This window comes from Homo sapiens, chromosome 17, assembly GCF_000001405.40.
Source record: "Homo sapiens chromosome 17, GRCh38.p14 Primary Assembly".
In the NCBI taxonomy this organism is placed as follows: Eukaryota; Metazoa; Chordata; class Mammalia; order Primates; family Hominidae; genus Homo; species Homo sapiens.
Window position 1 is genome coordinate 49,546,359 of NC_000017.11, and position 15,672 is coordinate 49,562,030.

General features: G+C 53.3%; 1 long non-coding RNA gene across 1 annotated transcript in view, besides 1 other annotated feature; it reads right to left on the reverse strand.

Moving 5' to 3' along the window:
• Positions 1-15,672, reverse strand: part of NGFR-AS1 (NGFR antisense RNA 1) — a 68,408-nt gene that overhangs the window by 40,702 nt on the left and 12,034 nt on the right. The window lies entirely within an intron of this gene.
• Positions 10,118-10,187: a silencer, noted in NCBI's record as "silent region_8671". NCBI's record gives its function as "represses an Ori minimal core promoter by ATAC-STARR-seq in GM12878 lymphoblastoid cells {active_cell/tissue: GM12878}" and the evidence as "EXISTENCE:reporter gene assay evidence [ECO:0000049][PMID:35858748]".

A 15,672-nucleotide genomic window follows, 5' to 3' on the forward strand; every position in this document is an offset into this window, starting at 1 on the left:
CTCCAGGGCTCTCACACACCATGACCCTTCCCTCCATCACCTCTGAGGCTGGTTGTTCTAAACCCACCTGTACCTGTTGCTGTCTCTGTTACCACACATTCAGCAGCTTAAAACAACACACATTTACCACCTCAGAGGTTTCGCGGGCCAGGAGCCTGGGTGCAGGTCCTCTACCCAGGGTCTCACAGTCCAGGTGTCGGCTGGGCTACCTTTCCTCATGGGCCTCTTCCAAGGTCACACGGTTGTTGGCAGCCTTCAGTTCTTGCGGCCCTAGGGCTGAGGTTCCGGTTTTCCAACCGGCAGCCAGTGGCTGCTCTCAGCTCCAGAGGCCGCCCACAGTCCCTGCCACTGGCCCTCACCCAGGCCCCCTCAGTGCAGGGCAGGACACATCTTCAAGGCCAGCAGGAGGCTCTCTCTGACCTCAGGGAGGGCCTCAGTCCCTCTTTTAAGAGCTTTCACTTGATTACATCAGGCCCACCCAAGGTAATCTCCCTTTTGATAAATCAAAATCAACCAGTTTGGGACCTTAATTACATCTGCAAAGCCCCTTCACCTTTGCCGTGTTCTATTGGCTGAAAGCAGGTTGCCGATCCTGCCTGCGCCCGGGGGAGGGGAATCTGCGAGAGCATCACTCACTGGGGTCACCTTAGGTTGCCTCTGCCACCATCCCACCTTTTCTCACATCACTACATCTCCTCCTTCTGCAGACTTCTGCCATCTCGGTCTCCGTGAGTCAGCGAGCCTGCCAATAGTCCAGGGAGGGGGGCAGGGGGGACCCTTTCTTTCTTCAACTTTGACTTCACAGAGGGCTGTGGAAGGTGCACCAGGCATGCTGGGGGTGTGCAGGCCTGAGACCCCCATCCTTATCGGGGAGGCTAACTCCACATAAAGAAGCCACTTTAGATCCTTAGAGGAAACCAGGAAAGTGTCTAAGCAGAGGGGTACTTTGAGCCAGGGCTGGTGGCAGTTTGCGGGCAGCCAGGATGGGGGGTGGGGAGAGGAAAGGACAGCTCCAGCTAAGGGGCGGCTTAAGCAAAGTGGATTTGGGGAACAATGTGGCTGTTGACTGCAGGGCTTTAGACAGACAGATCAGACTGGCAGGCAGCTGGGGGAGCACTGGGAATGTCAGGCTGGGGGCAATGGGGAGCCACGTGTGCCTGTGGGTGGGGGACATGATAACATCTTGTTATGGACGCCTCCTGAGAATCCCGTTTCCTTCTCTATATTGAGCTCCCACTATAAGCCGGACACTGTGTTTGGGGCTGGGAATGCAATACTGAATCAGCAGAGAGGGGACCTCAGGGATTTTAGAGACGAATCGGGACAGACAAACCAAGTCATCAATTACATCTGCAGTGTGAACTAGGAGAGGACAGGGTATTGCAAGAGCAAGGAACCAAGGATCTGACCTAGTCTGGCAAGTCCACAGAGGCCCGGATGGGAGGGGATGTGGTGGAAGGAGGCAGCCAAGCCGTGGTGGTGACCCATATATCACATCGCCCCACGAACCACGGCAGAGAAAACAGAAAAGGACAGGGGAGTGCCTCCTGGCCCTCACACATGAAAATAAGGTCTGGAACCAACCTCCTTGTCCCTAATTCTTATCCTCTTTCAAAATAAAGGCCACCCACACTCCTGTGTGCCCAAGTCCAACCTGGCACCTTCCTCCTGATTTCACCCACCATGAAGGAAAAGCCCCAGAATCCCGAACCCCTGCATGGACTCAGAGGCACGCGGCCAGCCAGAGGGGCATTGCCGTGTGTCTGCAGGCTGTGGGTGCTCCCCGGGGTGGGTCACCCCTCTGTGCCCAACTCAGCAGGCCCAGGGGCCCCCGCCCCACTGCCTCACTGTTCTGCACACCCACCCAGATGTTCTCACGCCCCATCGCCCCAGACACAGCCCCAGACAGCTGCACAGCTGGCCTCCTGGCCGGTGGGACAGTAGGCCTGCCAATAGCCCGGGGAAGGAGGGCACACAGGGGACACCTCAGACAAACAGATCTGCTGCCCTGAGCCAAAGCATACAACGGGCAGGGGCCTGAGCAAGCAGGCTGGCCAGGGGGTGGGCTTAACCCTTTCTCTTCCAGCATGGCCCCAAGGAGTCCCCTGTGAACTCATCGCTGCCATTCCCCTGCCTCCAGCCTCATGCTCCCCCTTCCTTGCTTCCTGAAGAACAGGTTCATTCATTCTCTCATTTTTACAGACATGGGTAAGACAGGTTTGCCCCCAAGGTGCCAGGGTCTAGAAGTTCTTCCTGTTGTCTGACCCTCCTACTCTGTGTTGGTCACTGCTGTCCTCTGCTATGGCAGCTGCTGACTGCCCCCTTCTGGCCAGTGGCTCCTGCCCTTGGATCTCCAGTTCCCCTCAGCCTCCAGGTGGGCCAACAGGAGGTCTAGGAATAGTAGGAGCAGGAGACATGGCCATCGCAGGGTCTGGAGGGAGCTCAAGGCACCTCCATGTCCCAAGGGTGTTGCCTCTGCTCTGGAGGCAGCACAGAGCCATGGGTGCAGCCTGGTCACAGGTCCCCACCCACTAACCAAGCCTGGACAAGTCTCTGAGTCCCTGCTTCCCCATCTGCAGGATGACAGTGAGCATAGGAGCCCCATGCGGGCTACTCAGAGGACGAGAGGAGGCCATGCCTGCCACACAGGGTGACTGCTCGGCGGCTGCCTCTGGCTATCTTTATGACAATAGCAGGTACTGAGCACACTCTGGGGACAACAACATCTGAGCCATCTTGAATTCACACTCTTGTGCGCGAGGCAGACATTGAACCCATAGGCAAATCAGCAAAACGTGGTAATCCTAGATGTGACAAGTGACAGGAAGGAAATCAAAATGGGGGTGAGCAGGGGCCTGGGGGGGAGGAGGAGGGGGCAGCCACAGTCAGGGCTGGGGTTTAGAGATGGGGTTTGCCCATCTCTCAGGGCCTGGGTCCTGGTATGTGTTGGGAGACAGATTCAAAGGTGAATGGGTGCCAGGCCCTGCCCCAAGACCTCCTAGCCCTGACAAATGCTGAGACATGCAGGGTTGCAGGCGCACACAGAAGGGGCCCTTCGTCGCCAGGGCAGGCAGAGGGAGAAAGGGGCTCTGGGCTATTGGAAGAGAAAGTGAGGCTGGGTGTGGTAGGGCGGCCCTGTGAGGCCGGAGGTGACAGGCTCTGAATGCCAGGCAAAGAGTTGGGGCGTTCTCCTGGGGCACTAGGGAACCATGGAAGGTTTGAGGCCAGGAAGTGATGTCTCAGATGTGGGTTTCTGGAGAGCCACTCTGGCTACTGTGAGAAGTAGGGGTTGGCAAGGCCGGCCCTAGGGAATGGTGCGGGCCTGAAGCCTGGTGGCCCAGAAGCCCAGGTAGAAGGGGCCAAGTTTGTGTTGAGGAGGAAAATGGGTAGTTCCTGGCGACTGACTGCAGCTGCAGAAGGGAAAGAACTGGAGTCTCCCCAGGAGCGTGACTGTGACCCGCTCCTCTCAATTCAATGCTTGGGTGAGCATCTGTGACAGGCCAGGCTTGTCCCATGTGCAAGGGACAGCCATGAACGGGCCAGATGAGGAATCTCACAGAGCTCCCAGCCTGTGAGGGACAAGCGGGTGTTAAACACATCGCAAAGAGAGTGATGACTTACGAATTCTTAAAGGAAGGGGCCAGGCTGTGTGCTGTGCACCTCGAGCTCCCTGAGGGCAGGGGCTGTGTCTCCCCCTTCACTCTGGAGTCCCTGAGGTTGGAGCAGTGTGCTCTCTGCAGGCTGGAGGCTCCCTCAGAGAGGGTCTGTCTCCTGCCAGGGCTGTGGCTGTGCACCGGCTGTCAGGCCCTGCCTGCTCCCTACACCACCTGAGGCGCCAGAACAGAGGGGAACAGGCCGTGTCATCCTGAAACACTCACCAGCCACCCGCTGAACTGAGCTGAGCCCACAACTCCAGGGCAGCCAGGCCGCCCACTTTCTCTCAGAAGCACCTCTCAGGGATGTGGCCAGAGGAGATCTCCCCACATAAGGTCCCCCCTGGGGCTCCGCCCTTGCTGCCACAGCTGCCCAGTCTCCCCACAGCCCTGGGCCCTCCGCTGTGGAAGCCAGGGGTGGCTGCTGAGTGGGGCTGGGGACTCTGGGCAGAGGCTGATATTCGCTCTCACTTTCAGAGGGCCCGAGGGCAGGAACAGGAGGGCTGGCTGCGGAAAGTGTCCTTAGCCTCCGTCCTCAGTCCTGTGGGCCTTTGTTCTATTGGCCTCAGTTTGCCCCTGAGGTGATGGATCTGCGGTGGTCATGGCAGTCCCTTCTGGCCCTCACAGTTGTTGGGGTTTTGTTTTGTTTTGTTTTTGAGATGGAGTCTCGCTCTGTCACCCAGGCTGGAGTGCAGTGGTGCAATCTCGGCTCACTGTAACCTCCGCCTCCCAGGTTCAAGCGATTCTCTTGCCTCAACCTCCCAAGAAGCTGGAATTACAGGCATGCACCACCATGCCTGGGCCAATTTTTGCATTTTTTTTTTTTTTTTTTTGAGATGGAGTTTCGTTCTTGTTGTCCAGACTGGAGTGCAGTTGTGGGATCTCGGCTCAATGCAACCTCCACCCCCTGGGTTCAAGCGATTTTCCTGCCTCAGCCTCCTGAGTAGCTGGATTACAGGCATGCGCCACCACGCCCAGCTAATTTTGTACGTTTAGCAGAGATGGGTTTCTCCATGTTGGTCAGGCTGATCTCGAACTCCCAACTTCAGGTGATCCACCCACCTCGGTCTCCCAAAGTACTGGGATTACAGGCGTGAGCCACTGTGCCAGGCCAATTTTTGCATTTTTAGTAGAGATGAGGTTTCTCCATGTTGGCCAGAATGGTCTCAAACTCCTGACCTCAAGTGATCTGCTCACCTCGGCCTCCCAAAATGCCGGGATTACAGGTGTGAGCCAATGAGCCCAGCCTATCTGTTGTTTTTTAATTTCAATAGGGACAATACATCTTGGGAAGTTGAAAGGTAAGGAATTATGCCATGTGAGAGACCCACGAGGCAAAGGAGGGGAAATGCCACAGCATGAGAGATTTGAGGCTGACACCCAGAAGGACTTTCGAGAAGGAGGGTGTGAGCCGCTGGATGGGCCCCGTGTGGTTTCTTTACAGGGCTCCATCTGGCTGGCCAGGAGGGGTCTGGGGCCAAGGCAGTCTAGGAGTACACATTTGCCCTTTGTAGCTGGGCCACAGAGTTTTGTCCTGGGCTGCTCTGGGCTGGGTTCCCTTCCTGGCATGCATGGAGTTTGACCTTTGGCCTTTGGTTAGGCCTAGGGCAAGGCTGTTTGTCTGTCCACTCACCCCAGATCATTAGGACTGTGTAGAACCCAGGGCTGGGCTCTGAGAGGAGCTGGCAGTCTGTCTGGAGGTCAGAGGCAGACACGCCCCTGCCTTCAGGACAGTAGGGACAGTCGCCACTGTCAGGGAGCTCAAATCCTATGGGGGATACCTGGCTCCTGCCATCAGGGGCCCCACCCAGTCAAAGGAAGGAGTCCCAGGCTCTGCCTCAGGGAAGAGACCTGTCACATGAAGAAAGACCCAGGAGTCAGGCAAACACGAAGCCCCAGCTCTGGAGGCAGCTGGACCCCCAACCACGTGTGACTATGAAACTGATCAGAAGCTACAGGGAGCAGAGATGGCCGCCCACCGAGGAGAAAGTGTATTATGTTGGAGGAGCAGGCATCGCCCCCTACCCACAGCCTGTCTGGACACCTGCATAGGGGAAGACGGGTGGGTGGGAGAAAGTCCTGCTCGGGGCTGTGAGCACATCCATGGGCAGGTGTTCTGTGCTCGGCCTGGAGGTTGGGCGTGCCTGTGTGCTTGGTCCTCAATGCCAGTAAACGTGCTCCGTGTAGACACTCTGCGGAGGGCCTAAGAGGGTGTGAGGTGTAGGCGTGTGCACTGCCCGTGCAGCACGCGTGCATGAGTCAGGATGTGTACTCCCGGGCAGAGGGACAAGCACTCGCCTGAGGTGGGGAGCCTGGGCACGGTCTTGGCCCGATGACATCGTGCTGAGTGATCTCGGGTGCCCTGTGCGCAGGGAGGGAGTCAGAAGGCTGTGTGAGCCTCTCCAGCAACATGGGTCTGTGTTCTGAGCCCCAAGGAAAGCCCCAGGCGCCCTGCATGCCCACTGCAGGCCTCTGTCTACCCTTGATCCCTCACCCTGGCGCCCCGACAACTGGGCCTGACCAGTGAATGCTGGCTGAGCCAGCTGTCACTGTGACATCCATTCTCCGCGGTGGGGCCTGGGAGCCCTCACCCAGCTCCCCCAGCTCTTCCCCCCTCCTCTCCTACGCCTGCCCCCACAGCTGGGAACTAGGCCCAGTGGCAGCTGGAAGCCTCCCGTGGGGTCTCACGGAATACGTAGGGTCTTATGGAGTTTTCAGCCTTAACCCATGAGCTAGAGGGGACCAAGGCAACAAGGAGCTCTGCTCCCAGCACTGCTAGAGCCCCTCTTTCCACGGCCCCTGTCCCCAGAACTCCAGGAAGACTTCTGGGGTGACAGCCCAGGCAAAGGCCAGGAAGGAGAAGACTGCTTATTTGCATATCACTCCCATCTGATTTGCATGTGCAGTGAGGCTGGCCATTTCTAAGTTATGCTGGAATCTTGATTTCAGGATGCTGAGCCTTTCCTCACATCTATTCTTGGGGCTTGCCTCTCTCCATCCCGCCTTGACCCAGACACCTCCTAAAGGACAGCCACACACACACACACACACACACACACACACACACACACACACACACTTCAGTCCCTGCATATACCTGCATTTACAGACCTGTATTTGCATACATACACCTATAGCCCCCTCCATGAGAGTCCTGGGTGCCTGGCCCTGTGCATGCTCCATGGGGATATACACTGTTACACACATGTACACACTTGCACAGGCAGTTGCACAGACACCCATGGTTATGTGTTTTCACACCCACACACAATTCACCCACATTTCTCTACACTCCTATACACCCTCCCAGAGCCTCCAGTGCATTCTGCACCCTCCATTGATGAATGAGCACACACACCTCGGCCTCACACAGGGGCCCAGAGCCTGCACACGCTCCACACACTGGGCCTGGCTGCCAGTGAGGTGCTCTAAGCAGCAGACCCCTCCCAGACCCCAACCTGGGCAGGACTGGCAGCAGCTGTCCTGTGTGACTGTTTCAGTGGCTTTACCACCAAGGGGTCTCTGGAATTCCCAAGTTAGGGGGCAGTCCTTTAGTGAGAGCTTTGTCTCCACTGAAATATGGCTCCTACCTGCATTTTCTGTCTTATCTCCATCATCCCTCCCACCCCCTCAAGTCCCCTGCCTTCATTAATCACCAAACACAGCTTCCTTGGGTGGCCCTGCCTTCTACCTTTGTTCACCCTGTTCCCCACCAGAACACCTGCTTGCTTTCCTCCACCATATACACTTGTGCCTCTTTGCCCTTGTCCATTCTCTTCCCTCCTCCTAGGTTGGCTTCCCTCCCTGTCCCTCTGATGAACTCCTATGCATCCTTCAAATCCCACCTCAAATGTCACCTTGTGGGTAAACTCTTCTCCAGCTTTACCAAGCAGAAGTAGTCATTCCTCACTCTGGGCATCCAGAGGCAGAACAGTGTGGTGGAGAGACAGGATTGGCCTGTCTGGATTGGGGCTCGTGGGCTGCAATCCTCTGTTTGTAAGAAGGAGCCAGGGGACTGTTCTGGAAACTGCAATTACATGGCAAGCATCTTGGTTTCAATGGTATTTTGTGTTTATTGCTGTGGAAGGGCCCAGGCACGGAAGTCACACAGTGCTGCTTCCCCCTTCTCTGCTTTGCACCTTTGGGCAAGTGTTGCAATCTCTCGGGGCCCGTTTCCCCGCCTGTACCATGGGCTCACGGTGGGGGATTATGAGGACCCAATTAAAATGTGAACCTTTGTGACCTGAATTCTCATTACACCGAACAGTAAAGACGAATTTGGCTCAAAGGATTTTTGCTCACTTCTCTATCTCCCTGCTGGACTGGAAATTCCTTGAGGGCAAGGGCTATGTCTCTTTTATCTGAAAAATGAGGATAAGAGGCCAGACCTTAGACTTATGATGAGGATTAGAGTTCATTCACAGGATGTGCTTAAAAGAGCTCCCTGGCACTCCCTCAGGGTTTGTTGCTATAATTACTGTTACATACACTATCATTTAATCCTGACATCAACCTTGTGTTGTTGGAGATACGGTTATCCCACTTCACAGGTGAGGAAAGCAAGTTTTGGAATGCTTAGGGCCCTCGTTGCTAAGGTAAGCAAGGTTCAGAACCCAGATTTGAACCTGGATCTGGCAGAGGCCTAACCAAGATGTCCTCATGTTGTCATCATGGATCAGGATATGATGGTTCTGGGCAAACTGATCACATGTCCAGCCCGGGACTTGGTGGTGTGGCCTGTCTGTGTGTGTCTATGCCCCCGCTGTGTCTCCACAGCATGCAGCCTGTGCTCCAGGTGGACCAGCAACTGATGACAGTGTGGACACCTGAGAAGGAGCTGCCCCGTGGCCCCATCCCCATGGCAAACAGGTTCATCTGTACCCAGGAACAGGAGGCCACAAGGGGAAGGGGAGACAGGAGGATCTGGGGCCAAGGTCTTTTTCCACAAGGGCCCAGGGTGCTGGTCGTTCAGCCCCTCCCAACACTTCCACTCAGCATCCCGGCCCGGAGCACCTGGCTGGGGAGACCTTTCCACTCCACACGCCACAGGAGAGTGAGCACCACGTGACTCCTGGGAAGCCTGCCCTGGAATGCACGTCCGGGGAGCCCTATTCCCCCCGACCTTCCCACTACAGACCTCGGGCCAACAGCCTAATGGGGGCCCTCAGTCCTGTGAGGACGGCTATGGGGACTGCATAGGGCAAAAGAGGCAGGGGCACATGGGTTTCCTGGGTGACATCTGGGCCACAGCCAGGCCAGAGTGGTTCCTCCAAGTCACACAGCAAGCCTGGGCCTGCCTGGCCCCCTGAGTCAGTGGGAGCCCCCTTGCCCTGACCCTGCTGGGGGCTTGGCTATCAGGTGGTGGGAGTCCCTGGATGTTCTGCTGTGGGCCTGGTTCCACCTGTGTGCCCAGTCTGCTTCAGGGAGGGTGTCTCAGATGGCCCAAATCCCAGTAGGGACAAACTAGGCGTCTGAGAGGTGGTAGAGCTTCCTCTGTTCTTGGGACCAAGCACACTCCCGGGAGCCTGCCAGCCTGGGACGGCAGAGCCAATGGGGCATGAAACAGGAAAGGAGGGGCTTTCTTGGAATGAAGCAAGACACGGGCGTGAGAGGCCTGCAGCTTGGGGCTGATGCTGCCTTTGGATGTCCCCGCTGGGGCCCGGCCAGCTCTGGGCGTGGGGAGAATTATGGGGAGGAGCGGGGATGTAGGGATTAGGGGTGTGGGGAGGGTGAGGCCTAGAAGAGCCCGTGATGGAGGTTGCCGTGCACAGGAAAGGGCTGTCCAGGGATATTCTAGCCTTGGGGTCCCCTGCCCTGGGCATGCACCAGGAAGCCAGCCACCCTCTCAGCCCCCTTCCCACTGCCAGGTTTCTTGGGGAGAATCTGGTAGAAGCCTCCCAATTCAGCTTCTCCCACCTGCCCGCTGAGACCCAGGGCTCCCATCCCAGCTATTCTCCACTCCCAAGAAGAGAGGGAGGAGGGCTGTGCTGGGGTTAGAGGACGGCGGGATTTACTGGGATTTATTGGTTTGGGCAGGGAACCACTAAGACGCCTGGGAAAGTGGCTAACACCCCTCTCCTGGCTTCTTCAACACCAGCTCCCCCTCAGCTCTGGAAGCAGCCATGTCGCTTTTAGCTACAGTGAGAGAGATTCGAGCTGGACACCAAGACCTGACACCAGGGGTAACGACTGCGTGGCGCAAGGAGAGCTCTCTCTCCTGCCCAGAGACACACCAGGCTGTGAAATTTGCCCGGAGGCAGGGGCATGGAAGGAATGACCTCCTGGGCAGGTCCAGATCCAGCATGACCTCACCGGCCGGGGCCCTGAGAACCGGACACTCGAGTCCTGTGGACACTCTGGAGTGAATAGGGCTGCGCGGAGAAGGACACGTGGACGAGGAGGTACCGGATGCCTGGGGCCCACCCAGGGCCTGGGCTACAGGGACCCGCTCTGCCATGCGCCGAGCCTGCTCGGGTGCGGCGGTGCCACAGCGCCCTCTGTTGGCCAGAGGCGGAGGCCGCCTGTTCAGGGCCTCTGATGGAAACGGGGACTGGAGCTGCCTACAAGACAGGCAGGTGCTCCAGCGTTCTGCCCGGAGTCAGCGGCCACGGAGGTGGCCATCCCAGCTGGGAGAACCTTGGAGACTCCTGTGCCAAGCCCTGTTCTTTTGCTGGGAAACTTGAAGCCAAGAGAGGAGAGAGGCCCGGTGCATCCGGGTGCTGGGCCCGGGACTGGACTGTGGGGGCTGTCCAGGTTCCAGTGGTGGAAGCATGGGATGCCCCAGGACTCCCTAGTCACCCCCACGAGTCACCTCAAACCCCCATCCAGCCGACTGCAAAAGCACAGCTTCTAGACAGCTCCCACCCCTGCCCCCACCTTCCACCCAGACTGCAGGCCCCTCAATCCGTAACAATTCTAGAGCCTCCCCATCTCCCCAGCACCCTCTGCTCCCACACACCCTCCAGCCCCCTTTGCCCCACTCCATCCGCAGCCTCAGGAGACTCTCTGTGCTCACCTATACACCAACCATTTCCCACTTAAAGCCTCTGCTGCTTTCTTCTTTTGTCCCCAGGAAGTGAAAACTTTATGTCTTTTCCTTTTTGATTAACTTTCTTGGATTTTCTTTTTAATTAAAAACCATAGTACTACATGTTCTTTGTAACAGCTTAAACAAACCAGAGGTATCTAAAGAAAAAGTTGATAATCTCCTCTCTCCCTCTCCAGTCCCCCTTCGCCGGTCACTAATGTGGCTGAAGGAGCGTTGTTCTGCCTTGGGTTCTCTCAGGACCTTCGTTAAACAAGTAAGAAGGACTGAGACCTATTATGTGTTGGGCTCTGGGCTAAGCCTGGCTGCAAGAGCCAACAAGTCAGCAGCCATGGAGCCCACTGCCTTGATGGGGCCTCGATTCTAGTGGAGGGGAGGAGAATGTTTCAAATGGTGATGAATTCTTGGGGGGAAGGGATGGTGGGATGATAGGTGATGGACCGGAAGTCAGGTGGCCTGGAGCAGGAGTAAAATGCCACTTTCCACCTGCTGCAAGTGGGATTGCCAGGGAAGGGCTCTCTGAGGAGGGACATTTGAGTGGAGCTCCAATAGAGGGCACTGTAGGCCACCATAAGGAGCTTGAACGTTATTCTGAGGGCGTCGGAAAGCCACTGAGGGAAGGGAGGGGACCTGATGTGATGTGCGTTGCCCAAGGACCCCTCGGGTGTCCACTGGGTGGAGAACAGATTGAGAGTGGGACAGTGTAGCTGACAGGAAACAAATTAGATAGACAGATAGGTAGATAATGGATAGATAAATCAGTAGATAATTGATAGATCAAGAGATATGTTGATCAATAGATAATAAATAATGGTTGATAATTGATTGAACAATAGATAATCGATAGCTATAGATAGGAATTGACAGATAAAATAGACATTCCTTCTATTTATTTATTTATTTTGAGACAGGGTCTGACTCTGACGCCAGGCTGGAGTGCAGTGGCATGATCACAGCTCACTGCAGCCTCAAGCTCCTAGGATCAAGCGTTCCTCCCATCTCAGCCTCCTAAGTAGCTGAGACTGCAGGCACACACCACCACACACAGCAAATTTTTTAAAAAATTCATAGAGACAAGGTTTCACCATGTTACCCAGGCTGGTCTCAAACTTCTGGGCTCAAGCCATCAGCTTTCCTCAGCCTCCCAAAGTGCTGGGATTACAGGTGTGAGCCACCATGCCTGGCCTTCTTTTTAAGTAAAAATGGGCCCAATGATACAGATTGCCCTGCTCCTGCCCCTTTTCCTCTGGTACTTCCAGGTCAGAACACGCTCCTCCACTCCAAAGGGGCAGCAATTCATCCTCTGGGCAGCCCCACAGCTGCCACAGCCCTGGCTATACATCAATCTTTTGATTTTTCCAATCCACAGGGTAAAACACCCCCCCCCCCCCACACACACACACACACACAACAATTTGAGCAACAAAAATATATTGGATAATCACTTAAAGTATAAAATAAATATCGATGAGTCCACACTGATATGTATAAATGATTGAATAAATTAGTAAGTGGGGGCCAGGCATGGTGGCTCACGCCTATAATCTCAGCACTTTGGGAGGCCAAGGCGGGCGGATCACTTGAGGTCAGGAATTCAAGGCCAGTCTGGTCAACATGGCAAAACCCCATCTCTACCAAAAATACAAAAATTAGCTGGGCGTGGTGGCAGACTCCTGCAATCCCAGCTACTCAGGAGGATGAGGCAGGAGAATCACTTGAATCGGGCAGGCGGAGGTTGCGGTGAGCCGAGATCATGCCACTGCACTCTAGCCTGGGTGACAGACCGAGACTCCATCTCAAAAAAACAATTAATAAGTGGGAGAGAAGAGACAAATATCTCATGCAGGATTCCAAATAAATTATGTCGCGACCTCACCTTAAAAGAGGGGGAACATTACTCCCCACTATGGGGTGCACATCAGGACTTCCTTCTAAATAGCACTGTATGGAGATTAACTCTGCAGTGGAGACACTGACCAAGATGACACCAGCCAGGGGATCAAGGTCAATACCAACAGTTTTTTGGCTCCTTGATATGATGAGTGAAATGGCACTTTACTTCTGTGGTCTTCCTCCCAAAAACCCACAGCCCCAACTATGAGAAAAACATCAGACAAACTCCAGCAGAGCAGTACCCTACAATATCCTTGACCAGTACTCCTCAAACTGTCAAGGTCATCAGAAACAAAGAAGGTCTGAGAAATGGCCACAGCTGAGAGAAGCCTCAGGGAAAATCATAACTAGAAGTCATGAGGCATTTGGCAATGACGGATCCTGCAAAAGAAAAAAGGACACTAGGCAAAAACTAAGGCATTTTAATAAACTATGGACTTGAGTTAATAAGCAAATATAAACATTGATTCACTGATTGTAACATGTATCATACTAAGGTAAGTTGTTGATAATGGGGAAACAGAGTTGGGAGGTACCGATGGGAACTCTCTGTACCATCTGCTCAACTTTTTTCCATAAGTATAAAACAACTCTAAAAAATTGTCTATTAATTTTTAAAAATGCACAACTTGTTGTTTTATTTTTATTTTTATTTATTTATTTTGTGTGTGTGTGTGAGACAGGGTCTCACTCTCTCACCCAGGCTGGAATACAGCAGCATGATCCCTGTTCACCACAACCTCCGTCTCCCAGGCTCAAGGGATTCTCCTGCCTCAGCCTCCCGAGTAGCTGAGATTACAGGCGCCTGCCACCATGCCGGGCTAATTTTTGTATTTTTAGTAGAGAAGGGGTTTCACTGTGTTAACCAGGCTGGTCTCGAACTCCTGACCTCAGGTGATCCACCTGCCTCGGCCTCCCAAAGTGCTGGCATTACAGGCATGAGCTATCGCACCCGGCCTCATTGTTTTTTTAAATGGTATTTCCACTAAACAAGTAAGAAGGACTGAGAACTACTATGTGTTGGGCTCTGGGCCCTGACTCCTACTGAGGCTGAATCTCTTTTCGCATAGACTAGCACACCTTGCTTTATTACGTTTCACTTAATTGTGCTTCACAAATAATGTGTTTTTTACAAATTGAAGGTTTGAGACAACCCCACGTTGAGCAAGTCTATTGGCACCATTTTTCCAACAGCATGTGCTCACTTTGTGTCTCTGTATCACATTTTGGTAACTCTTGCAATATTTAAAACTTTTCCCTATTATTATTATTATTTTATTTATTTATTTATGTTTTTAAGACAGAGTTTCACTCTGTCACTCAGGCTGGAGTGCAATGGAATGATCTTGGCTCACTGCAACCTCTGCTTCCTGGGTTCAAGCGAATCTCCTGCCTCAGTCTCCCGAGTAGCTGGGATTACAGGTGCATGCCTCCACACCCGGCTAGTTTTTGTATTTTTAGTAGAGACAGGATTTAATCATGTTGGCCAGGCTGGTCTCGAACTCTTGACCTCAAGTGATTCACCCACCTCAGCCTCCCAAAGTGCTGGGATTACAGGCATGAACACCGCACCCAGCCTCACTATTATTATATCTGTTATGATGATCTGTGATCGGTGACATTTGATGTTATTGTAATTGATTTGGGGTGCCACAAACCATGCCCATATAAGACGGTAAACTTAAATGATCAAAGTTTTGTGTGTTCTGACTGCTCCAACTGGCCATCCTCACATCTCTCTCCCTCTCCTTGGGCCTTCCTATTCCTTTAGACACATTATTAAGATTAGGCCAATTAATAACCCTCTAAGTATTCAAGTGAAAGAAAGACATATCTCTCAGTTTAAATCAAAAGCTAGGAATGATTAAACTCAGTGAGGAAGGCAGGTTGAAAGCCAAGATAGGCTGAAAGTTAGGCCTCCTGCACCAGCCAAGTTGTGAATCCAGCTTGGAGAACCTCAAGGGAAAGGTCTTGAAGGAAATTAAAAGTGCTACTCTAGTGAACCCACCGATGATAAGAAAGTGAAACAGCAAATCAATGTTGTATCTCATTGCTGAGGTGGAGAAAGTTTGAGTGGTCTGGATAGAAGATCAAATCAGCCACAACATTCCCTTAAGCCAAAGCCTAATCCAGAGCCAGGCTCTAACTCTTTCAGTTCTGTGAAGGCTGAGAGAGGTGAAGAAGCTGCAGAAGAAAAGTTGGAAGCTAACAGAGGTGGGTTAATAAGGTTTAAGGAAAGAAGACATCTCCAGAACAAAAAAAAAGTGCAAGATGAAGCAGCAGGTGCTGATGTAGAAGCTGCAGCAAGTTATCCAGATCTAGCTAAGATCACTGATGAAAGCAGCTACACTCAACAACAGACTTTCAGTGTAGATGAAACAGCTTTCTATTGGAAGAAGATGCCATCCAGGATTTTCATAGCTAAGAAGAAAAGTTAACGCTTGGCTTCAAAGCTTCAAAGGACAGGCTGAGTCTCTTGTTAGGGGCTAATGCAGCTGATGACATAGAGTTGAAGACAGTGTTCATTTATCATTTTGAAAATCCCAGGGCCCTTAAGAATCCTGCCAAATCGACTCTGCCTGTGCTCTAGAAATGGAACAAAGCCTGGCTAACAGCACAGATGTTTCCAGCATGGTTTCCTGAATATTTTAAGCCCACTGTTGAGACCTATCACTCAAAACAAAAAGATTCCTTTCAAAATATTATTGCTCGTTGACAATGCACCTGATCACCCAAGAGCTCTGGCAGAGATGTGCAAATGTTGTTGTCATGCCTAACATAGCATCCATTCTGCAGTCCACGGATCAAGGAGTAATGTCAACTTTCAAGGCTTATTAAAATTTCCATTTCAGGCCGGGCGCGGTGACTCACGCCAGTAATCCCAGCACTCTGGGAGGCTGAAGCGGACCGATCACAAGAAGTCGGGAGTTCGAGACCAGCCTGACCAACATGGAGAAACCCTGTCTCTACTAAAAATGCAAAATTAGCCAGGCGTGGTGGTGCATGCCTGTAGTCTCAGCTACTTGGGAGGCTAAGGCAGGAGAATCGCTTGAACCTGGGAGGTGGAGGTTGCGGTGAGCC